Here is a 25651-nt window from a genome sequence, read left to right as displayed (position 1 = left end):
AAAACACACTGAAAGCCATGTCTCCAAAGATGAAGGTAGAATTAGATGGTAAGTACAAAAAAAGTTTTTATTGAGCATAGGTAGAATTATTCTAGGTTGACCAACGCCCCAGAAAAAAATATCCTGAGGTATCTTTTTTTGCCCAAATAGGTGTTGGGAAAACCAGGTAGTCATAAACAGACCTGCTTCTTCAAGTGTAGCCTAGATTCATTGGCTCTCCGTCCTTTCACTTTACTTTTATGCATCTCGCAATTGTGGCTTTGGCCCTGGCCAATCTGCCTTTTTTTCCCTCTTGGTTACTCACCTTCTGTTTGTTCCTAAAACATATACTTTGCCTATGATTCTTCTTCTCTACAGGTTCTTTTCCTGAAACTAATAATAGCTTACATTCATTGAGTTCCTGCTATGAGCTTTACTAAGTAGTTCGCATGTATTACGGTCATTTCTCGGTATCAATGCAGCACTGGATCCAGGACCCCAACAGACACCAAAATCAGCAGATGCTCAAATACCTTATATAAAATGGCATAGCACTTGCATTTAATCTATGAACTTCCTCTCATATAAATCACTTCTAGATTACTTATAATACCTAATAAATGTAAATGCTACATAGATAGTTGTTATGCTGTAGTTTTATATTTTTGCTATTTATATTGTTATATGGTTATTTTTATTGCTGTATTTCTGTGGTTGGTTAAATCTGTGGACATGGAACTCGCTGATAAAGAGAGCCAACTCTACTTCATTCAACCCTCACCTTGATGCCTTGAGGAAAATACCATTATTAATCCTATGCCGTGGATGAAAACCAAGGCTTAGAGACAAGAAGCAGTTTTCCCAAGATTCCACTACTAATGAATGGCAGAGCAAAAACTTCTGCAAGTTTTGACAGACCTTATAACTTGCACCCTTTCCCCTATACTGTAATAATTCACTCGGAGACCACAAATATCCATTTCCTGTATTATTGGCAATAACCAGTAGTCCTCTTACTCTTTTAAAATTGTTATTTTTGAGCTATCTCCTCTGCTCTATCCCATGTTGTAAGCACATCTTTGAAAAAATTAATAAATAAAAACGCAAGCTCCTTGAAGCTCAAAGACTGTTTTTCTCATTTTTAATCCTTTGTAGAGTATAGGTAGAATAAAATACATGTGCATTATTTATATGTTCAATAAATGTGTCACATTTTAATTTGACTTGAACACTCCAGCTAATCAGCTGACTGGCAATAAAAACTGTCAGGCAGTACAGTGGCAAAAGTTAGAAAGTGCTTGTTAAAATAATCAGGTTTAAAACAGTCAGTGACAAAAACGTAAATCTCAGTATGTTATTGGACTTTCCAGCTTATGAAAATACACAAATTGTTTCTATATGTCTGAATTCTCTTAGATACAACCTCTTTTAAGAACACCAAATTTTATTTGGGAAATGCCTATCCCATCATCAATGCCATTCTGAAGATTTTACCTGTGAATATAGATTGAATTTGAGAGAAAGATTTGTTTTTCTCTCCTCATTTCAACTAGAGAGAATTAACATGTGTTAGGCATTCCCCTATGTTTTCAAGATTCTACATTTCGGGTAGACCTTGTCCTACATAAGCAGCTCATTCGTGGGGAGAGAAGGGACTGTGATGAAGAAAGTAAGACAGACACACAAGCGGTATAACATGAAGACACGTCAGTGCAGAGGCCCGCAGAGGGACGGAAGAGGAAGGTGTCACTGCCACTCACTGCTATGGAGCCTCAAGCAAGGCCTATTTTCTCAGGCTTCAGTCTCAAAGGTTATTAAACGAAGAGTTGGCTAGAGGTCACTCAGAATTCTTTGAATTTAAAAACGGTATGATTTTCATGGTGACAGGGCTTCATCAAGGAGGTGAAATTCAGGCTCAGGAAAATCTGATGGGGGAAGCAGGGAGAAGATGGGTGTTCCAGGAAAGGGAAAAACAGACCAAATCCAGCAGGTACCAAAGCACAGGGCATGTCTGGGCAGCACAAGCAGCGGATTGAACCGGAACCGGGAGTCTTTTGAAGAAGGCAGTAGGCCTAAGGCATGGGAAAGTTGGTTGGGGTCATATTCTGGACAGCTTGAATGCCTTTTTCTACTTGGGCATGGTTATGGAATACAATCTCTACTTTTATCCCATCTATTTATTTAGTTAACATAGATTGACTTTGTTGACTGGTCATCTGATTACTACACGGAAAATATGTGTTTGGTAACATACTTCATGTCTAAAAATAAGCACTTGAGAACTCAACAAATATAGCAGTGCATCCCCAGAAGAGGTTTCAAAAGACGACTCTTTTGTTCATTCCATGCAAGCATACCCACATATAATGTGCTCCTAGAAATTTCACCAGCAACCATAATTTTGCTTCCCAGATTTCTTCTTTCTCCAGCCATTCTGCATGCCTTGATAATACTATTTCTACTTTTCTCAAGTAAAAAAATATGTCTGTTCTCTAAATTCAGTGCAAGGTGTTATATGCTGCCCCTCTCCATTCTGCTAAAAGGCCATTATATTATTTCATCTTTCAGCATTTGTAGTTACCCCTAAGATTAGTCATACAAGGAATGGGGAAGAACGACTGGGATTCCAATATCTATTTCCTCGGTTTTCTTTGAAGTGTTTCTTGGGACAGTTCCAATGGTTTGGCAGAGAAGAATCCCACGGAATTCTCCTAAAGGTGAATGCTTAGGTATATAAAATCAATTAGCTGGCTTTGTTTTGTTCCGTATGCATGTTTTGAGTTTATGCAGTTCTTGCAACAGACTGAAAATATAGCTGTCTTTGAGGTTTTCTTGAATTGATTTAAAGTTCAGTGAGGATGTCCCGATTTAGATTCCTGAACAATGAGCTCCTCCTTTTGTAAAAGGGCATGTATCCTGTTGTACACCGGCAAAGGTTTACCCAAGACGTAGCTTTTTTGTTAGAGAGAACAGGATTACAATGCTCTGTGCTTTTCTCCAGGATAGTGGCCATCGGCCTAGTCTTAGGAGGCTCTCCAGGAGGCCTGGATGAGCAGAAAGGGTGACATCCCCGCCAGCAGCTCATCTCATGACACTTCCTCTGCAAGATGAAGAGATTATTTTTCTCCAGTTTCTTTTCATCTGTTCTGCCCCTATCTAATTTTAAATCACAGTTTAGGGAATGTGACATCGTCCAGGAATAAGTTTCTAAATGCATTGCTTAGTCACAGATTTCCTCTAACCATCCTCTGATTGGCTGTCTAGAATGAATTGAGGCTGTGCCTTGAATCTGATGAGAAGCCACTTATGGAGCATTTATGGCTCTCTGGGGCAGAATTTCCCACAAACAGAATAGCAGAAAATAGGTGACCGGACTGCAGAGCCCAACCATCTACCAAGGCTTCACTAGGCTTGCTAGTGCACGTTTGCTCTGGCTGTGAGTGAGGCACTTCTCTCAGCTTCATCCCAACCTGATTTCCTACAGCACCTCAACCCTATAGGGGATCATTTGTTTCTGGTTTACCTGCTTTGGCTTCTCAAGCCTCTGCTTAGGTTGTGACCACTTATTCCCAATTTGACCCATTTTTTTCTTGCTAGCATTTGTCTTATGTCCTTGCCCTGCTATCAACCCCCAGCTTCCAGCCTCTGTGATATTCTCCCCTCCCACATCTTCCTGGTTCTGATGAATGGAGTATGACTGAATCAGCACATTGAGGAGATGCTCAAGATAAAACAGGTTTCACAGTCTGCTATTCATGTAAAGCTTGAGAAAAATAATGTGAGCTAGAATTGGCTCATTATGCCACTTAGTCTACAAAATGGAAAGCTGTATTAATTTTAATATCTATAATATCAGTTATTTATATTACAAACTTATGCTTCATAAGTGCATGTTCATTATTGCGTTCACAATAAATTAATGTAAAAAGTTAATACTTCCAGAGCTGTTTCGTTCCAAGGGAAAAAGGTTTTTGGATGTGGACAACACTTGGTTTTTCTTCTAGGTAACTTAGTGTGAGAAAACTCTTCCTGAGATCCAGCCTACATTCTTCTTGATGAAATATAAATCAGCCCAAATCATTTCTTCTTTAACCTTTGGAAAACTTGTAAAAACCTGGTTACCATACTCTTAATAGTTATAGAAAAACTTGAAGGAAATTATTATACCATTTTCTGGCAGCATATATAATCAAACACCAAGGTCAGAACCCTTCTCTGGCTGTGGCAGGCTGTTTTTCCTGTGGAACGTCTCCTCCGGTCGCTACTGTAAATGAGTCTTGGCCTTGAGTAGGGTGACCACCTCATCAAGGTTTGCCTGGGACTGTCCCATTTTTTCCCATCCTGAGAAACCCTTCAGTCCTGGGCAGATTAGAACAGCTGTTGCTCCAGCCTTGAATTATTACTACTGCCTCCAATTAAATTACTGACTTTCTTTCATTGGAATTTGTCGAGCCCCTGGTTTCCGTCTCATAATACTGACATCATTTTTCTGCTTCAAACTGTATTCCTCCCCCTTTCTCCCCACACACATCCACTATAATATAAATAATTTGAGGAAATTTATCCTTTCATTAATATAACACATTTGTGTTCAGTGCCTCCTGCATGCTAGTCTCTGGAGAAATACAAAATTCATGAGATAAAAACCTTGTCCTCAAATAACTTAAAGGCTATCTGAGGAGAAAAGAAAAAAGCAATAACTATATAACATGGTTATTAACTATCCATGTTGGGAGAATTTTCCAGATAAAAAGCTGTGGGAAATCTAATGGAGGAAGGGTGGGATTATTTTTAGTTGCAGGTGTCACAGGAAGCTGTGTGGAGAAGTGAGGATTGGAACTGAACGGCAGTGGATTGGGGTTAGGGAAATGGGTGGTGCTGGGGGGTGCATTCCAGGTGTAGAGACCAGCGGAGCTACAGCACGCAAAGATTTCTCCTTATTCATTTCTGTGTCCTCTCTGCATCTAAATCTAGGGACCAAGTTACTCATTTATATCTGTCAAAATGAACATACAACATCGTTAGAAATGGCAACCACCCCCGTTAAAAACTGGGCCAGCTTCAAACTTTATACGTGAAAACCAAATGAGCTAGGTCTTCAAAGAATCCCAGAGAAATGTCATGGGGTTCTCCTAATTAAAATCAGAAGTTCATTTTCAGGTGATTTCTTAGTCATGCAGCTGGAACTAAAGTAAATCTCGAGTCCCAGGAATGAGCATAGTGGGAAGAGAGAGAAGCCATTGCTCACCATGGGGCTTTAACTGGGAGCTCTCCCCTGAGGTATAGATGAGATCAGAGAACAAAGCCATAGGAAAGACAGAACAATCATTTTGAATACAAAGTGATCAAACTGCTTTAATTTTCTATGGAAAATGTTTTTCTTTCCAGTGACTCAAGGAGGTTGAGGTTGATAGCTTCTTACACGACAGATCACAAATTTGCAGTCATCCTTTGCATTTGAGAAGTAATTAAACATTTGTAAAATGACAGTTTTCAAATGAAATGTCTGGCCAGAGTCTCCTTCAGAAATAATGATGTGGTTTCTTTGGCTGCAAGTAATGACAAAGACCATCGAGCATCCCCCACCCACTCCCCTAGTTCCGAGCGCCAGTCTTCAGCGGCAACGATTGCAAAAGTTGCTCTCACCGAGTTCATTTTCTCTCAGTGCTCTTCGGCAGCCAACTATCCTGTGAGATAATGTGATACAAATAACTGCACTTTGCCATGGTTTCAACCCCTTCCTCCTAGTGTGTTTTGTCGTAAGTGATGACATCAACGAAGATGGGAAGCTTAGGTTTGTGCTGCTGAAGGGTCAAACTGATAGAGCTTTCATAGTTAAAAGTAACTGGCAAGAGATTTACAGCCAGATATTTATATTATAGGAGTTTGTGTCTTCTCCAGTGGCTTTGGCAGAGTTGCCTAACTAACCTCAAGAAACAGCTGAGTAATCCCTCTAGATGTAAGCACTCTGTTATATTATGGAGAGGAGGGGCTGGAGATGCAGGCATAGGTGTTCCTAAGCTAGCTTATAAATTAGCCAGGTGCCAGTAGGAATGTTATTTTATAAAACTGGGATATAGAGTAATTGATTCTCATGCACAAGCATGGTTGCTTGATTTACACAGAGCTGATTTAGCATTTTCCTTGCTAAATTTATTTGAAAAATGTTAACGTAACCTGAATTTACAAGGAGAAAAAGTATTTGTGTGTGTGTGTGATGGTTATTAGAGAGACAGACAAATGTCAGTACAAGGAAAAGAATAACTTCTGCGATTGATATTTTATTTTTCCTTTATTCTCATTCACTAAAGTAGATGTCAGCACCTTCCATGCTCCCTATACTGTGCCAGGCACTAGAGATACAGATATCGATCAGACAGTTCCCAGGCATTGAAGAGAGGTAGGTAGGTGAAATGTAAACACGTGCAATGATAATGCAGCATTAACGCAGAGGTATATGAATGAAAGGGTGATAGCTATTGTAAAGTAACACAAAAGAAGGAACAATGAACTTTGCCCAAGGAACTGAGAAAGCTTTCCTGGATGGGTGGCATTTCAACTGACTCTTTAAAGGAAGAGCAGGAATTGAGCCACAGAGGAGCCCTACAAGAGGAAGCGTGGTGGGAATGGTGTGCTAAGCATACAGCACTCCGTGCAAAGGCTTGCAGCCTGAATATTTGCATGCTGGTGGGTAAATGTGGGTTGCTTGGTGTGGCTTTTCCAAGCAGAGCATGAGGGTAGGCAGAGAAACAACTGTGGCTGGAAATGTTAACCGGAACCTGCCAGGAGTAGCTTGTGAATGAGGCAGTGAGGCCTGGTGGAAAGAACACGGCCTTCGAAGTTAGACCCTGTGAGGTCAAGTATTCACATTAAGACTTTTGACAAGCTACCAAAATGGTCTGATTCTCATTTTCTTTAAACCGGATGTGAGAATAATAATAAAACTTATTTTGTTATGTCATTGGGGTGAATTCCTGACAGAATAGGCAGACCTACATGTCAGTTCTTTTTGAGACCCCCTGCCCTTGCATGCCATGCACAGAAGGGTTTGGCATTGATTCTGCATGTGGTGAGAAGCCGATGAGAAACACGAATTAAAGAAGTGATGGGTCAGTTCTCGGTGTATTAAAAAAGTCACTCTCACACTAGTATGAAAGAAGGCCTGCATCATAGTAAGACAGGGGAGGCAGAGAGACCAGTTGGAAGCCTGTTGTACTATTCCAGAAAGGAACTAAGGGCTTGGACCAAGGCCAAAGTGGTGGCAATGAAAAGAAAGAAAAATATCTCAGATATATTGGAACTCACGACACACTGGAGGTACACAGTGGAGCAGGAGGAAGCAAGGATGATGCGGTGATCAGATTCTCTGGTGAGCAAAGGAACTCCCTGGAGTAATTGCGTGCATTTATTTGGAATACCTGTATATCTACTGAATGCCAGGCAGCCCTTAGGAAGACCCAGGAGGGGCTGGTTTCCTGGAGTATACCCACTGGTAAAGGTTAGTTTACTCTCCAGAGGCTCCAGTCCTATATTATTACCATTGATTATTCCTGCTACAGGTCATATTTGCAAAGAGCGACATAATCATTTTTTATTAATTCTCTTCCACAACAAGATGCCAAGCTAGATTGCCCAGCATCTTCAGCAAAGCTGGGACTGACACCCTGGAGTCTGGGTTCAACCAACTAACCTCCTCTCTATTACTTGGGCTTTACTGAAGCAAGTACCGTAAAGCCTTACTTAATTAAAATCAAGAAAACAAGCTGCACTGGCAGGGTTTGAACAGCCTCCAGTGTTAGAAAGAAATAAAAATAGCAGTCCCTCTTCCCTGGACTGGTCAGAATGATAAAACAGAGACATAGTATTGTGTCTCTGAGCAGAGTGTGGATCTGAAGATGCAAGGAGCTGGCTGCTGACTAGAAGTATACAGGGATCCATAATGGCTTACAGCAGTCAAGCACATAGAATTCATTTGAGCATGTGCTTTCTGAGAGAACTGTGGTTTATGTCTTACATACTTTGGTTTATTGAACCCTTCCAATAATTTATCTTATTTTTATTTATACATAAATAGATGCACATATTTTGGGGTACATGTGATGATCTAATACATTTATATAATTCGTAAAGATCAAATCAGGGTAATCAAATCACCTCAAATATTTGTCTCTTCTTTATGCGAGAAACATTCAAATTATTTTCCTCTAGATGTTTTGAACTATGCAATAGATTATTGTATACTACAGTCACCCTACTGATCTAGCAAACACTTGCTCTTATTTCCTCTACTGAACTGTATGTTTGTACCTACGACTCAACCTCCCTTTCTTCCCCACTCCCTCCTACTCTTCTCTGCCTCTGGTAACCACCAATCTAATCCCTGTCTTCATGAGACCCATATATGAGTAAGAACAAATAAGTCTTTGTTTACCCCTTCTGGTAGTGCTATCAATAGTGTTGATTCATATAAAAGGAAAGTGAAACTTAGATGAGACAAATTACCTAAAATTACACAGCTAATGAACTCACCGAGCTGAAGCTGGAACCCAAGTCTGACTCTAGAACCATGCCCTAGCCACTGTGTGATATGTCCTCAGTATAGAAAAGCAGGTGGTTTAAGGCTAGGTCTCTATTCTTTGTGTGATTCAAATATACACTGTGGGCTTCTATCACCAGTTCCAGAACACAAGGATACAGGAACCACAGGCCCGACCCAACTCAATGTGGCCCAGTCAGTAGTTACTGAGGAGTTCCTCCTAATGTATTCAAGGTGGCGTTTGGCCCTTCAGAGACAAAAGCTCCGTGGGAAATATCCTGGCCTCCATACTTCGTGTTCAAAGAACCTACAGTCCAGTTATAGATTATCTCTAGAGACCCCACCCAACCTCATGATGCTGTACAAAAGGCTGGGGGCTCCAAATGCACAGTGAGCATCCTCTTCCCTGGCAGCAATGACAAGAGGCTAAGGGGTCCAGTTGACTTTTAAGATATTCCACTGTTCACAGTAACAGCAACAACAACAACAGAAAATCAGTAATTATAATAGTAATTAGTCCAAGCCCTGTCATTTGCTGGGCACCTACTGGTGACTCAAGCACCCTGCTGGTGCTGGTAACTTCACTCGCTTACTTAATTAGTGATATGATTGAAAAGTCTGCCTGAAAACAAAATTCCATCAGAAGCCAAAATATAACCCTTTTTCTCTAAGTTATGCCACACATACTCATGGAACTGAAACCTAACAGACAGAAACCCCTGGGAAGCAATTTCTACATACTGTCTCTCCAAATTGGCTCTAACAGTACTAACAGAAATAATAAAAAGAACTGGGGTGAGCGGTGGGTGGGGGGAGACACTGCTCATCTACTTATCAATTCCAGCCCCAAGTCCATGGGATTTTTTCTTATTTCACTTGCAGATTTTTTCTTCATTCTAGTTCTTAATGTATCTTTGTCTTCTTTTTCGCCATCTCCTAACTTCAGGAACATGCCCTAATTGGCTCCTGGGTGCAGTCACGGCAGTCACGGTCCCATTGGCCCAGAAGTGGGAAAAGGGGAGAGGCTTGGAGGCTGGTCCTTGCAGGATGATCCTTGCAGGATGGCTTTACTTGGTGTAGAGACAGAAAGTGGAGGTGGGAGACGGGGGTGGTGGCAGCCCTCCTGGGTCAGCTCTTCCTGGAAAGCCCTCTGACTGTGTGCCTTTTCCCTCAAATTACAAAGCAAACCCCGCAGACATCATCCTGTGAAAGGAGATGCTCTGACAAATGCAGGGGAATCAGGCAGCGGAGGTCTAAGACGAGCAGGGCAGAGGTCAAGGAAGTCAGAGTATGTCTGGGAGGTCTGGACAGCTGCCATCGTGGGACAGGACGAGCGTCTCCCCAGCAGGCAGTTCCTGGGGCTGCTAATTGCTCATTTATCTATATATATCTGGCTTAAGCAAGGGCAATTGTGTCCAGAGAGAAAGCCAAAGAGCTGAAGATGGATTTACGAAGGCACAATAGATCCATAAAAGTAGATGAATAAATAAAGGCATTAACTTTTAATGTAAATAGGACTGAAGCATTCTCATTACCTTATCTTTTGAAGATATAAGACGAAATTCCTTCTGCCAATTTGAACAGCTTTAAAGTGTACTTGAGGACACTTGGAAGGAAGAAAAAGGACCCAAGTACCAGAAAATATCTGCTTACAGGTGCCAAGGGTAACTCAAAAGTATTCACAGAGCTGGAGAAGTATGCTGCTGCTCAAATAGCTGGAAACCTAACCAGAGCTGAAAGGAAGCTGCTGGTCACTGGCAAACCATGGACTTTGCTCTTCTCATTCATTTGTTCACTTATTCATTCATTTATTCAGTCAATGTATATTGAGTTCTTCCTATGTGTTGAGTACCTACTATACTATGTAGATTGGACATGGACAAACCTGTGTTCTCAAGGAGGTTGTGGTCTCAATTTAGGATAGGAGACATTCTTTATGGCATTGATGAAGTCTGAGTGTGTCTAGAAACAATCTCAATATTCCTTGACACTAGACTAAGTTATAGCTGGGGCTCAGGGCCGGGGGAGCCAAAACAAAAAATGAAGGAAGGACACCAGTTAGTGGTGTCCTTTTTATTTATTTTTATTTATTTATTTTTTTGACACAGAGTCTCTATCTCTGTTGCCAGGCTGGAGTACAGTGGTGCGATCTTGGCTCACTGCAACCTCCACCTCCCGGGTTCAGGCTATTCTCCTACCTCAGCCTCCCGAGTAGCTGGGACTATAGGTGCGTGCCATCACACTCAGCTAACTTTTTTTTTTTTTTATTTTTAGTAGAGATGAGGTTTCACCATGTTGGTCAGGATGATCTCGATCTCCTGACCTCATGATCCACCCACCTCGGCGTCCCAAAGTGCTAGGATTACAGGCGTGAGCCACCGTGCCCAGCTGTGGTGTCATTCTTAAAACCATGGAAACAAATTATTTTATGCTGCAAATGTTCTGACACTATTAAAGGTGCATTTGCATGCATTATCTCTAGCCCATGCAATGCTTCTGTGATCAATATTATTGCATTTGTTTTCTAGAGAGGACACTTAAGCTCAGAGAAACTTAATGCCTCACCAAGTCACACAGCTGGCGTGTGACTGCACTATGATTCTTAGTATTTTAACTTTAAATACTCCCTTTCCACCATTCTAAACCCTCTGCATGTCAGGGCCAGATTAATTTTTACTAAAATTTATTTCTTATAATGGGTATACTCACCACCTTCAAAATGTCCTTTTGAATGGATTCCAAGTTCCTTAGCTCAGATTTAAGCCTCCACAGCATCTGATTGTATGCTTACATTTTGGTCTTACAGGCCATCAATGCTTCACTATACCCTCTACATCAATTAAGCCAAACTACTTGTCATTTCTGAAAACTTTGTTAGTTTCCCCACATTCATATTAATTAAAAAGGCTGTTGTTCCTGATTAAATGTGGGAGGCAGAGAAGAAGAAGATGACAAAGTCGATTCTGCATTTTTCAAGGCTGAGTGATTAGGAATGTTGGCGCCTTCAAACAAAACAAGAAAGTCATGAAGAGAGGTGGCTTGGGGGAAGAGGATAAATCTTATTTGAAAGTCTTGTTTGAGTTGGTGGTAGAATGTTCAGGAGGAAGGCAGCCTGGCCTCCACTTAGAAAAGGCCTCAGAGTTCATAAGGGCATCAGAGAGGGAGCTGATGATTTTGGAAACTTCTACAAGGGAGTGAGAGCTGAGGCTTCAGGAATGAAGGAAATGAGCCAGGAGAAGGGACTGGAATGAGAAGGAAGAACTCCACACTGAATCTTAGGAAAAGCTCAGGGGCCTGTTAGGGTTGAGGGCGGGCAAATAGATGTAAGGGAAATTAGAGGAAAACAGAAGCAAGGCACGGACTCCTCCCTGTATTTTTTTTTTTACGAAAATAAACACAAAGAAGCAAGGGATAATTTGGTTCCCAAACCAAGACTCCTCAACTAGCTCCATGACTTTGAGGGGCTTTCTTTAACTGTTGAGGACAGACGCATGGAGCCCAACAGAGGTCACACATGAGCTCTTGCTCATCTTTATACTGTGGCTCTTGCTTTCCAAATAAATATTTAGAATCATTTGCTAACAAATGTGGAGCACCAACAAGTATTCCAGGCACAGAGCATGAAATGGCGAGGGAGATAAAGGCCCTGACCTGGTGGAGTTGGCTTTCTTGTGGATTACATCCCCTTGCAAGTTCACTGATAGAGCTATAGCATAAAGTATCCGTAAAGTATTACGGGTGCTGGGGGACTCCATCAGGGAGGAATTGGAAGCTGGATCTTATAGGATACAAGATCATTGCTAAATCTAGGATACAGGATGTAAATGAGTTAATTAGGAAGATATAGTACAATTAAAGAGTTAGAAAGCAAGAAATGTGAGAGCACCTTCAAGTAGTTTAGTATTGCTAGAGTACAATCAGGTAGGAATACAGTTTTTTGCAAGCATGAGATTAGATAGAAAAGCATGCACCATTTATACACTATGATAAGTTTTGATGTTATCCTTCAGATGATAAGAAACCACCAAAAGGTTTTTAAGCTGGGCAATTATACAGTTCAGATTATATTTAGAAAGACCCTTCTGACAGAGGGAGGATGAATTGGAGAACAGGGAAACAGGGAGATAGTTTAGGAAGCTGCTGTAGTTATCCAGGCAAATGATGATAAGGATTTGAACCAGAGGAGTGATGGTAGAGATACAGAATAATGTATGGATTTAAGAACTCTTTTGGAGATGAAATTGCTTGAACTGGTGACGAACTGAATGTGGAGGATGAAAGCAAGGAGCTGCAGAAGATATACATAGGCCTGCCTTTGGTGACCAAGGGGATTATAGCACAAGATACAAGCACAGGAGTAGGTACTGGCTTAAAGTAAAAAGGTATTAAGGTCAGTTTTGGGTGTGTTGAATTTGAGATTCCTATGATGGATCAGTAGGAGATCACTGGCAGACATGTGAATATACAAATGCAAATCTGGGAGAGTCTAGGCTGGACATACAGATTTAGGAAGAAGAGGGTTAATTCCTGGAGAACACCAACATTTCTCAGGCACCCAGATGAAGAGCAAACTAGGATGGAAATAGAGAAGCTCTCAGAAAAAGACTAAATTTGTACAAGTTTTGTAGAAATGAGGAAAACGCAGAAGCCTAAGAAGGAGAGGACACTGATCTCAAGCAGAGCAGAGGTGTCCATTAAAAAGAGAACTGGATTAAGCAGTCAAAGCACAAGGTGGACCCCCATGATGCAACTCACTACTGTCCGTGACCTGAGCACTAAGCCATTGGTTTAGGGAAAGTGAACAACAGTGAGATGCAGAGGCAAACTTGGGCCCCATGTGGTTCCCACGATTCCTTTTACTGCATTGCTGGACCTCAAGGGACGCTAAGGTTGTTCTACATCTCCTCATGGACTGGGATCTAATTTAGGTGGCGCAAATCATCCTACTTAAGAGATAGGGGTGAGTCCACAGGCAATGCCCAGGTCTTCACAGGCAAAACTGATTTCCATGAAACTTTAGGGGAATGGAGAAATGCTTTTAAAATGCAACATTGGGGACCCCACGCAAAGGAGTAGGAAGGTGTCGCCAGGGCTCTCTTGGACAACTGCTGATCATGGTTACTCAGTATGTGTGAGAGAACCAAACTCTTGCCTTCCGGGACTCAGAAGCAAACAGAATTTTTTTGTAACTGTAAAATCTAGGCTGGTAGAATCCAGGCTGTCTATATTAACCTACGAAACCAAGCTATTTTTAGAATTTTAAAAGAGAAAAATTAAATGCCTTTCACAGGAGGTGCAGTATAACAATCTATAGGTTTGGGAGGGTTTTTCTTTGACATTTCCTTGAAAATAACACATCTTGTAGGTGAGAATATATGGTGTCGATGGTAATTGCCTTTTTGCTGGAGCTACATTTTCATTCTCCTCCCTTTCTCCTCCAATATTAATTATCAGGACTAAAAATAGTCCATTGTGAGATCTTTGTGCCTCTGGGAGGCTTCTGTGGAAATCTGACATCTGTGCAGGAGGCTCTGCTGCGATGTGTGTCTCTGTGAAGCTGTCTCCTGTTTGTGAATTCAGTAAACACTTGCATAGTGAATGCTGAAGTGTCTGTCTCTCATAACGGTTGTGAGTGGCAGTCTGTGAGAACAGTGTCTTTTTGAGCAGACATGAATCATAGTGCCTGGAGGGAATAGAGAATGCATGGAATATTTATGATTAAGAGCATTAGTAACAATAGGGAAATATTGATACAAGAACATGCCCCTGTGTAACTGTAGTGTGCAACCAAACTGCCATGGCCTCTTATAGTTTTCCTTTTTGTATGTACCTATAAACGGATGTACCCCTCACCCTGACTCCATTTGGAGAAAAATAATATAAAGAAACTTTTAAAATAGAAAAATTAATGAGTTGTTTATATCCATGATCAGTTTAGGTGGAGTTAGATGGGTGCTAGGAAGGTCTTCAAGGACCAATACCTAGCTGCTGGAATCAGAGACTCATGGATCTGAACTAAACCTCTTCCTAAATAAACAGCCATCATGGCTGGTCAAGTCATTCTCCACTTGATGAGATTTCATTTCACCAGATATCCTTTAATTATCTTCTTGGAATGAATGTTAGTTCTGATGGGATGCAAGGTGAGGAGAAGGATGGAGGGTTACGTGGTAGCGTGGATATAATATTCGTGCTTTCTAATCAAGACACAGGTTTTGACAAATGAGTGCATTTCTAGGGAAAGCAAGATTGATTACTTTAAAATTGGGCTGTTCTAAAGAATCTGAGATACATGGTTATGTAACTGTGGGGAATTGGTTTGTTAAGTAATCCCAGGTGGAGCTTCAAAATGGGGAGCTCTATACAGTCCTGGAGCAGAATAAGAGCTCTGGGAGGCAGGGATAGGTCTAGGAGGAGGCTGAGGGGCAGACCAGGGAGGAGGGCATTCTGAGCAGGAGAAACCATTTCACAGCTGTGCCCACATGGGGGTAGTTTACAGAGAGTTGTTGGTGCTACAGAATTTTTTGTTTTAATTTTTAACCCCAAATAGTCATTTTACAGTCAGTTCTTCTGTTCAACTTGACAGTTATTATTTAATTCCCTCAAATTATTTAATTTGTATATACATTATACATTGGCAATCGAAAAACAAATTTGATTAATGTTAACTGTTTAAGCCAGGCACAGTGGCTTACGCCTGTAATCCCAGCTACTCAGGAGGCTGAGGTGGGAGGATCACTTGAGCCCAGGAGTTCCAAGAGTTCAAGTCCAGCCTAAGCAATATAGAGACCGTGTCTCTACAAAAAAAAAAAAAAAAAAAAAAAAAGTTAACTATTTGAATCAACAGATATTTACTATCACCTAAGTATAAGAATGTTACAAGTCACTCAAAATTATGAAATATGATATACATTTAAGGGTTGAGAAATTTACCTGTTATAATAACCTGGGTATTTATCTACTCTTATAGTTTGCATTTAACATTATATAAATTACTCACTTTGAATTAAGAATAGCTTTTGGTCCCCAATTATTTTCTTGTTGTCACACGTCATATATCAGGGTTGCAGACTAGTCAGTCGGTGTACAAAGGAGTTGAAAATGTACTTTTCTTTTTAGCCTAAGAAAAACATAATTTGGAAGACAAATTTGTTGCAATAAAAAACTTCTTACAGCCCCTCTCATACAAAATAAACTACAGCCACTTGTCATCTCAAATAATAAGCAAGGAAACTCCACATGGAGAGGCTGGGAAGACCCATGCTGGCCTTTGGTCCCTTCGTATTTAGGCCTACGTGAAGACTATTTCCAGAGTGTTGTCACTTACAGAGTCTTCGTCTTTGCAAAGATGAAGGCTGGCCGAAAACATTTGGTTAAAGATATCCACCCGAGTGAGTGGCTTTTCTGATCTCTGGACCAGTTGGTCTGGTATCCTTATCTCTTAGAACAGAGCACCATTAAGCTTTTTGTCCTGGTTCTTTGAGTTTTCCAAATTATGGCATGGGAGCACCAGGGTTCAGTCAAGATGCCTAGAGTTTGCTGTAGGAGCACATGGACCAAGCAGCTCAGAAGGACACCCCACAGCTATGCTGTGGGCTCCAGATCCTGCCCATACCTGTTCCCTTAAACGGATCTTTGACTAGAGCGAATCTTCTTTTATTGATTGCACTGTATTCTGGAGAGCTCTATAACATTTCATTTGAAGGCAAAATAATGATTGTTCGGTTACATAAGTTTGAAAAACATTGATTGAGATTATCCAAAAGCGTCCCAGAAAATAACCTGATTTTCCCCTAAAAGGAAATGTTTGCATATACTATGGCTCAATTTCACTGTGAATATTATACTGCAGATAAAAAGAATGAAATACATCAGTATGCTGTTAAATAGGGATATATAGTAATAGTGTTAAGTTTTAAAAAGACAAATGACAAAACAATATGTACAGTATGATTCCATTCATGTAAAAAATATACAAATCAAAACTATAGACTCCTGTATATACAACTAGGTGTAGGCACTCGGGGCTTCTTCTGCACTGACCTTTTGGTAAGATAACAAGTGGAGCCCACCAAAGCCTGTCAGAAAATGAGAAATGTGAGATGTGAGCCTGCCATTTGGAGTTGTATTTTTGTGTCAGAGAGCTTCGGTTTATGCTTGGCTTAGGTTTTGTCTCTTTTTCTTTCCTCTTCTCCTCCTCCTCCTCCTCCTCTTCCTCCTCCTTCCTTCTCCTCCACCTTCTTCCTCCTTCTTCCTCCTTCTTCCTCCTTCTTCCTCCTTCTTCCTCCTTCTTCCTCCTCCTCCTTCTCCTCCTTCTTCCTCCTCCTCCTCCTCCTTCTTCTCCTCCTCCTTCTTCTTCTTTTTCATAGTTTTTATTTTTGAGACAGAGACTTGGTCTGTCACCCAGGCTGGAGTGCAGTGGTGCAATCTCGGCTTACTGCAACCTCCACCTCCCGGGTTCAAGCGATTCTCCTCCCACAGAATACTTGTTCCCGAGTAGCTGGGATTATAGGCATATGCCACCACTCCTGGCTAATTTTTGTATTTTTAGTAGAGATGGGGTTTCACTATGTTGGCCAGGCTCATCTTGAACTCCTGGCCTCACGTGATCCACCAACTTGGCCTCCCAAAGTGCTGGGATTACAGGCATGAACCACTGCACATGGCCATGCTTGGCTTAGGTTTTCTGTCTGCTGAATAGTGACAAAGTTGATCACGGAACTAGTAAAGCCTCTTCCTCAAAACTCAGGGCTGAGCTAAAGGAGAGAGAACAATCTCACACATAAAAGCCAAATATATTTTTTAAAAGGTTAGCTTCAGTATCCAGCAGAGAAATTTTTTTAAAAAAAACATAAACTAGAAGATGCTCACAAATATTGACCGAACCATGGGAGAAAGACTATTAAGTGACTCAAATTTCAATGTATAAAGGATGATCAGTAAGGGAGTGATTTGTATTAAATTCAGAGGCAGATCATTCTCATTGCACTTCTCTCCATGGCCTTTCTGAGAAACAAATTATAGTGCAAATCTATTTTTTGACACACCAAACATTATGTACCAACTTATTCGGATTAATATTACACAGTGTTGATGAAATTTTCTTAGCAGTGCTAAGAACTAAAATGATAGATTTTTGTTGTTAAAAAGAATGTGTTGATACTTGTTTTCATGGTGACTATTAGTTGCATATTTAATTTATAGAAATGGCGTGCGTTGGAAATTATTGTAATAGTTTGAGATATTGAGCATCTGCGTGTCTCCCATGCCTCGACTTAAAAAAATTCATTGAGTGTCTACTATGTTCCAGGTAGCCTGCAAGGGGTCACAATGCAAAGATAATTTTTAATTGTTTCTAACATTATGAAGTGAATAGCCTAGTAGGTGAAACAGACACATACCAAAAATAGCAATAAAAGGCAATAGATGTTAGGAAAGAGGTTGGCAATTGCTAATACGGGGATGGAAGAGAGCTAGACTGCGAATTCCAGGTGAGCAAAGACTGGGTTGCGTCTCTTTTTCTCTGTATCCTTACGCCCCTCCCACAATGCCTGATACTTGGTATATGTTTAATAATTATTGGTAGAATGAGAGAAAGAACGGAACTATGAATGGAGCGAGGGTTGCTGGAGCAAGCTTCGTGGAAGATATGACCTTTTAACTGGGTCTTGAAAAAAAAAGAAATGAGTAAAGTGGAAAAGAAACAAGAGGGCGTTCCAGGTAGAGGCTTAGCACATTAAGGAAAATTCACGTCAAATGTGTGGAATAGAAGGAAGCTATGCCACATTAAAATGCGTATATGTAATGTGTTAAACAACACGCATACATACACAGATAAAGGATATTTTTGTTACGTGTGTTTTATCCTTATATATTTTATCCAAATATTGGGTATCCTATACATATAAATTTAAAAATTCTGCAGCTGTGAAGCCATCTGCTCTAGAGGATCAGCCGTGGTCAAGCCCTGCCTTCCCTGTTATACCCTGATGACAGCATTTACCATCACAATTGTCACTCATGTGTTCTATGCAAACCTCGTGCTTTTCAGACCTCGTGTTAATCAATAATATCAGTAGTCACTGTCAATTGTTACCACAAAACCTTTGAGGAGATCGAAGTCCTGACTGAAATGTGATCTTTCCTTTCATTTGTCTTGCATCTGATAAAGTTTGGGGCTATTCCAAAGCTTGTTAGCAGAAAAGAGTCAAGAATAAGAGGCCAGTAAGATCGTCAGAATCATCACGGGGCAAGCAGATATATGCCAGCCATATGTTAAAAGCCTTTAGAGACAAGTTAAACAGTCTCTTCTAAATGCCTCTGTGTTATCCTCTTTCATTTCGCTTTATTCATCATATTCAACAATGAGAAAATATGTCTTCATTATTTAATACCTTTGCACATAGCATATTGTGAAATGGAGTAGTAATAAAGTCTAAATCAAGCTGTTTTTAAGCTGAGGTAGCTGCAGAAAGTTCCTAGAAGAATAGAAAGATAACAGTTTAGAGTTCACAAAGTGGCATGTTGGTTCTTTCTCTTTCTTTGATTTTTAAATGTTATCACACTGTATGAGTAGACATGTCTTGTGTTCTATATTTAGCCAAAAGGATAGTGTCTCAATAAATGCTATTTGCTGTCTACATAGATTCTATATGAGAGAAGGAGTAGGTTGGGGGTGAGGGTGGTGATATAGCTACTAGAAATTCAAGTGCTTCAAGGAGGTATGCTGTAGATATCTGTGTAAGCAAAAATACCAGCTGTAGCTCAGCTACCTGAAAAGAAGGATTATATCCTCTAGGATGCTCTTAAACAATCTAGTCAATTTATGACATACCTATTTCAATGGGAAGCCAATTCCTGTGGCTCCATTTTGCTCTACTTTTTCAACCAAAGGTCATTTTTACATACTTTGGGAAAGATAGATATGGTGCTTAGGAATTAAGAGTAAAGAAGATAGTTTTCCCAAGACTAGGAGCCCTGTTCAGTTTAGGTAACAAGTCTACTAATCACAGAAGCAAAAGACTGTCCTCCCCACCTCCTAGATCTGTTGTCTACAAACTGTTTCACACAAACACAACACAACCCTTGACAGAGTAGGTCCTTAGAGGTTTTTGCTCTAGTCCTTGGGGTCTAGGGGTGCATGCATATGCAAACTTCTCTGTCTGTCATTTTCTCCCTTTCTATGTTTCTTTCCTTACTGGCCCCAACAAAAAAATTAAGAGATGTTTTGTCTTCATAGAATAAATGTTCATAAACAAAAGTATAAGGCAGAACTCCAACTGACAGTTTTTGTTAAAAAAAAAGAAAAAGAAGAAAGGAGGGAGACACATAGAAATAAAAATATAGATAGGGCAGACATATGTCTGTTCAAACCCATCTGGCCTCTTAGGCATTTTTGCAATTGGTACTTTGTCCAGGCATAATAATGACAATAATAACAGTAGCCAAATTTTATTGATTATTTAACTTTGTGTCAGGCACTATGATAAGCACTTTAGCTTTATTTTCTCATTCAGTCTGCACAAAGCCACTATGGACATGACATGATTATGTCATGTATGTGAAAATCCAATCTCTGGGAGGTTGAATTGCTTGCTCACTGTCACACAGCCAAGTGGTGGAGTCTGGACAGTATCCAGATCTAACTGATTCCAAAGCTACTTCTTTTAACTAAAACAATGTATCACTTACTCATTGAAATTGTAGCCAAATACAATAGAGGGTAAGTACCTGTTAGAAAAAGCTAGTTTGATTTACAGCCAAATCAAATTCAGGCATATGCTGTCCATGGCTCTTAGCTGATCCAACCCTTGTCACTTCCAGAGATAAGCAACATAAACACAGATTTGACATAGCCCAAGAAAGCAAGCCAATTAAAAACTTCCATGGCTGATGCCTCTGCCACGTCCTCCTGATGCCCTGAGCCTTAACAGCTTAAGTGCTGGTGTTGATCTCCTCCAAGACCTTTAAATGTCATGGACGGAAATTGCTATTTTGTTCTGGATGCACAGGTCCTAACTGTGGGGCTCAGAGAGTTCTGTGGAGTCTGTGAAATCAACACATGCCCCATCTCCCCCAGATGCCTTTACCTTTCCAGTGCAGTAGTTGATTGTCTACAGGCAGCTCCCAGGGCTGAAATAGGTTTCAGACTTTTCAGAGTTTTCATTAATGGAAACTTGCAATTCAGCAAAAGGGAAAAAAAGAAAGTAAAAGTGTTGTGGTACAGACAGGTAACAGCAGAGAGGACCATCTGCTTGTTAATAACTTGCCCACAGATTTTCATACAGCAGGACAGGGACACATTTATTATGTGATGCTGGGCCCATTCCATTCCACTATCATTTCTGTAGAAATATTATTATTATTACTTGCACAACGTGCTATATTTTTTAATTTACTTTTTAAAATCCTCCTCTCCCTGGATCATGTTCTCAATATGCCTTTTCCCTACCTCCCCGACCTCCCCCTCCCCTTTCCTGATGTACCACCTTTTTCTCAGCTCTCTCACAAACCGCAGCACAGCCTCAAACAGAGGCCATCATCACCAGCAAAAACAGTCTCTCAGTTCACAGAGAGACAAAATTCACTGAGAGACAGAACTCTAATTACATACATTGAAAATAATACTTTCCAATACAGGTCAAAATGTAGCCCAACAACTCAATGATGATTTTAAAATTTTGATTTAATTTTGTATTACACACACGTCTTGAAATAGAGCATATCTGCCTTGAACTCGGGGTTGGGAAATCTGAGTGATAAGAAACATCATATGTAATTCTGGCTCTGCCATTAACTAGTAGTGTGGACTTAGCTTTTATGTATAAAATAAGTGCATTGGACTAAACTGATGGATTGATTCATTCATTTATGAAGATCAGACCATTTGTTATTTTCCCCAGATTTGACCAGCTTAGATTTTCATACCTATTTTGGACATGGTGATATAATCGGATATTCACCCTTGGCCAATAGACTTTCTTGAGTTAAAACCAGCCCATCCCTTTGAAAACTTATGCTTTTTTCTCCCTGTACCTAGCTATGTGGTATGTATTGCATTCTGAAATGAATATGGTATTCATAATTTGACCCAAAATTATTTTTGAATTAGAAATTTATAGATATAAAAATTATTACAAAAGGGTTGAATGTAAATGGTAATTTTAAAATTATAAAAGCATACATTTCAATATATTTTAAATATATACATACTATTACTCCATTATCTCATTGTTATAGCTATTGTTATATTCTTCTCAATCTTTTCTCATGCATATATCTTAAGAAATTTAGTGATTTATTGACAGCATCGGATAGCAATATCTCCATATCTGCTCCAGGACTGCATGTTATTATTTAAAAATATTGTTGGCAAATCTGTAAGTGAAAAATGTCATGTTAATAATTATTTAACCTTCCTCTACTTCAGCACTTATGACCTTATGTATTTTCTTTTTAACCTGCCTTTTTATCTCAAGGGTAAAGAATCTTCAGCTCAGGTAGGTTTGCATTTACTCACAGCCCCTTTGGATGTTGCTTTGTAGGCTTATAGATGGTGAAGCAGAACAAAATCATAGCTAAGCACACAGACAGGAGGGGGCACACATCCTTGTTTTTCTCTTTATTATTTGTGTGGCATTAATCAAATTTGTTAATCTTTCTAAGCTTGCAGTGACATACAACTTTCTTCATTACTGTTACGAGAAAATTGACTGAGACAGTATGTTTACACACTTGCTGCACTCTTGAGCACTCTCAAATCCTCTTAAAATGTTCATCATTATGATCATCATTTTTTCCTGTAATCCATTAAATAATTCTTTCTCCTAGAATTGATTTTTCATGGTTACAGGACAAGTATCAGTAATTAATTAATTGCTTGTTGTAACCATTAATTGATTAATTTATTCTGTGTTCAACTAATCCTAGGAGTCATCTTTATTCTCTTACCCAAGCCACAGGTGATTCTGTTGGCTGTACCTCTAAACTTCATCTCAGAGAATTCTCTCCATTTCTCTCCCATGTCTAGTGCTACAATGATCTCAGTGATCTCTCCCCTGATCTGTTCAGTCTGCTGGCTGGCCTTTTTCTCTCTAACTTTTTCTGCCCAGCTTCTACCTCCATCCATTTTCAACATTGAAAGCAGATCTCTTCTTTAAATATGAAGGAGGCTACATATTTAATTATTTCGCAGTTAAATTCTTGAATGTGGTCTAATTGTGTTTGGAATACAATGGACGCTCCTTGCCATGGTCTACAGGAAACCGACTGAGGATTGTGTTTGGAATACAATGCATGCTCTTTGCCATGGTCTACAGGAAACCGAGTGAGGTGCCCCTGCCTGCCTCCACCACTTCGCCTTCCACTGCTCTCCTCCGCAGCTGCCTTTCCCAGCCACACCGACATCCTTGCTGGTTCTGGAATTCACCAAGCTGTTTCCCTCTGTGGGGCTGTTGAACTTTCTCTTCACCCTGCCTGGAATGTTCTCCTCCCAGACCTTCACACAGGCTCCTGCCCAGTGCCATGTTTTCCTGCACACCTGCCCTGACTTTCTTGCCCAGACTTCAGATACCTCATACTCCTTTATAGTCTTTTACTTTCTTAATTACCCCATCACTGTCTAAAATTATTGTCATTTCTATTTATGTCTTCCAGTGCTTTTTTTCCATTTCTCACTCTCCAGAACTCCGTGAACATGCTCTCTCCTCGAAGAGAAAGGCAGTATTTTCTATGTATTGCTGTACGCCTGACACCTACAATAGAATGGAAAATCAGTAACTGTTAGATGAATAAATGAGCAATTATTTTGTGTGTTTACTACGTTCCAGGTACACACAGAATTACTAGGTCTTAGACCAAGAGGTTGGTCATCAATCATTTGTGATTTTGGTGGGTCTTCCTTTGATCTTTGTACATTCTGGACCACTCCTTTTTTTGGGGGAAACATACAATGAATGCAGGTACGTATGTAACCAAGAATGAGCTCTGGTCTACGAATCCTGGTTGTGCTCAGAAAGCTTAAGCCAAGCATGTCAAGGAGGGTCCTGCACTGCAGGTCTCTTGCTATGGGCATGCTCACTCACTGGAGGACCCCGTCACCCACCCAACAAGGTAAACCACTAGTTTATATACATCAGACAGCTCAAAGTCTTGGCAAAGCCTGGGCCTGGACAGTCACCAGTATTCCAGCAGTTGAGGCCCCTGGCCCTTTGCTGTCTCTCAACCTATTATGGTAACTTGGATCCCCATTTTCTCCATTTTTTTTCCAGATACCAGCCAGGTACCCTGGCTTATCCTGGGTTGGGTTTTTAATTTTTCCCCACAGATCTCTCCCTCCATATGCCCCTCCCTCAGGCTCCAAGGTACAGCAATGAACTGGTCCATCTCTCACAATGCCTCCACGTGCACAGGCCTGTGCCGATATACCCGCAAAACATGCACACTTTGAAAAGCAGCTTGTGGCCCCCTAGACCTTTGGAAAATATTCCTCACTTAGACAAAGCCTAGAGAGAGGCTTCCGTCTCACTTTGACTTGATGAGTTGATATTGCTCTTCGTATAGCTTTCTATTTGGAAACAACTCTGTTTATATCACACACATTTTCTGTATTTCTGCTGCCTCATTTTTTACTATTAAGGACACTTGCCTAGAAACAGAATCTATACTTTCTTCCCCAGTGTTCATCTCCTCTCACTGCCTGTTCTTCACCTGAGTATATCACGTTTGATTGCTACACTGCAAAACTGGGCACAGCTTTATCCCCACTATATAGTATCAATCTGTTTACCCATCCATCTTTCTTCCTATCTTTATACACACAAGAACACATAAATGTCTCTAGTGAAATGTGTATGTGCTAATATTTCTCAGAGATGCAGGGATGATGTTTCCTTTTATTCCTCTGATAAACCACAAAATAATACTGTACTCAGCATCTACGTAACGTCTCATTTATTTTAACTAATTAATCCTCATAGGTGCCTGTGGAGGCAGAATCCTCACTGTTACCATTTTAAAGATGAGGAGACTGAGACAAAGAGAGATGAACTCGCTTGTTCAAGGCGATATGAAAATTTCTCAGCACAGTGGAGGATTAAAATTCAGAGTGACAAACTCCCTGATCCTGTGATTAGATCATTAGATCCTGGTGCCATGTATCCAACCTCTTAGAACTTGGAGAATCAGGTACTTAATATTGCTAAAGGAAATTGATGGAAAGGTCAAACATAAAAGGTACAAAGTACAGCTCCTCTTTTACTCTACAAGTAATGAAGCAGATTTCTTAGTGTTTAATTTAAGAACCACTTGGTATATGAAACACATTTCTTGAGAGAGAGAAAAAATGGCTTTGTGTCTAGACTCCCAGTCTTTGGGATTAAGAGCCACCTGCCTGGTTCAAGGATCTGCATTTCTCCAAAGTGCTCTCCTCACACCCGTCTCTGTCTGTGGCGCCATAATCATTTCCACAGCAACTCCAAAGGGGGGCGATGATTGTGGCATCACATGCAGGAGATTATACAGCCTCAGGCCGGGGATAACTAACAGAAGGAGAGAGATTCTCATTGAACAACAATCTTGCTTTGTGCAAATCTGAGCAGGAGAGAAGACGGAAGGGAGGAGAAATACAGGCAATCTAAGATCTAGGGGACATTGGTTTTAAATAGGTTGTTTTTCAAAGGTTTCTGGAAGATACTGGTTCTTCTAGAGGATTATGGAAAGTGCTGAGATAATTACCTTAGCCTTATAAACTTAAAAAATATACATTTATTAAAAAGTGTGTTTAGTGTTTGGCAAGCTGTCAGATAAATTTTCAAGGAAACCAGAATCTCCAGGACGAAAGGGCACCCGGCAGGCAGAGTACACAAAGGGATGTTGATGTGTTGGACAGTGGCCCACAATGGGACCCTGGTCACCGCTTAACTGCTCTATTGTTTATGCTGGTGTCATGCGTGTGTGCCGTTTGTTTAATTCATGTAGAGTCATGGTTAAGAGCAGAGTCTTTGGAGTCACGAAAACCTAGGTTCCACTAAAGTGCTAAGTAAGCTTTCTAATCTGTTTGACTTTATCTGTAAAACGTGAATTTTACCTACCTCATGGAGATGTTGAGAATTTTAAATAAAACCGTCCATGGAAAGC

At 40.4% G+C, this 25651-nt stretch overlaps 1 protein-coding gene across 8 annotated transcripts in view, besides 1 other annotated feature; it reads left to right on the top strand.

Annotated features, from left to right (window-relative positions):
- The window catches only part of OPCML (opioid binding protein/cell adhesion molecule like), a 1117521-nt gene that overhangs the window by 916321 nt on the left and 175549 nt on the right, over positions 1-25651 (top strand). The window lies entirely within an intron of this gene.
- Positions 1572-2771: an enhancer, noted in NCBI's record as "BRD4-independent group 4 enhancer chr11:132483305-132484504 (GRCh37/hg19 assembly coordinates)". NCBI's record gives its function as "activates an origin of replication core promoter dependent on BRD2, P300/CBP, MED14 and CDK7 cofactors, and independent of BRD4, by STARR-seq in HCT116 cells {active_cell/tissue: HCT116}" and the evidence as "EXISTENCE:reporter gene assay evidence [ECO:0000049][PMID:35650434]".

This window comes from Homo sapiens, chromosome 11 (genome assembly GCF_000001405.40).
Source record: "Homo sapiens chromosome 11, GRCh38.p14 Primary Assembly".
Classification (NCBI taxonomy): Eukaryota; Metazoa; Chordata; class Mammalia; order Primates; family Hominidae; genus Homo; species Homo sapiens.
The sequence above is the reverse complement of the archived record's forward strand: the minus strand, read 5'-3'. Positions and strand labels throughout refer to the sequence as shown.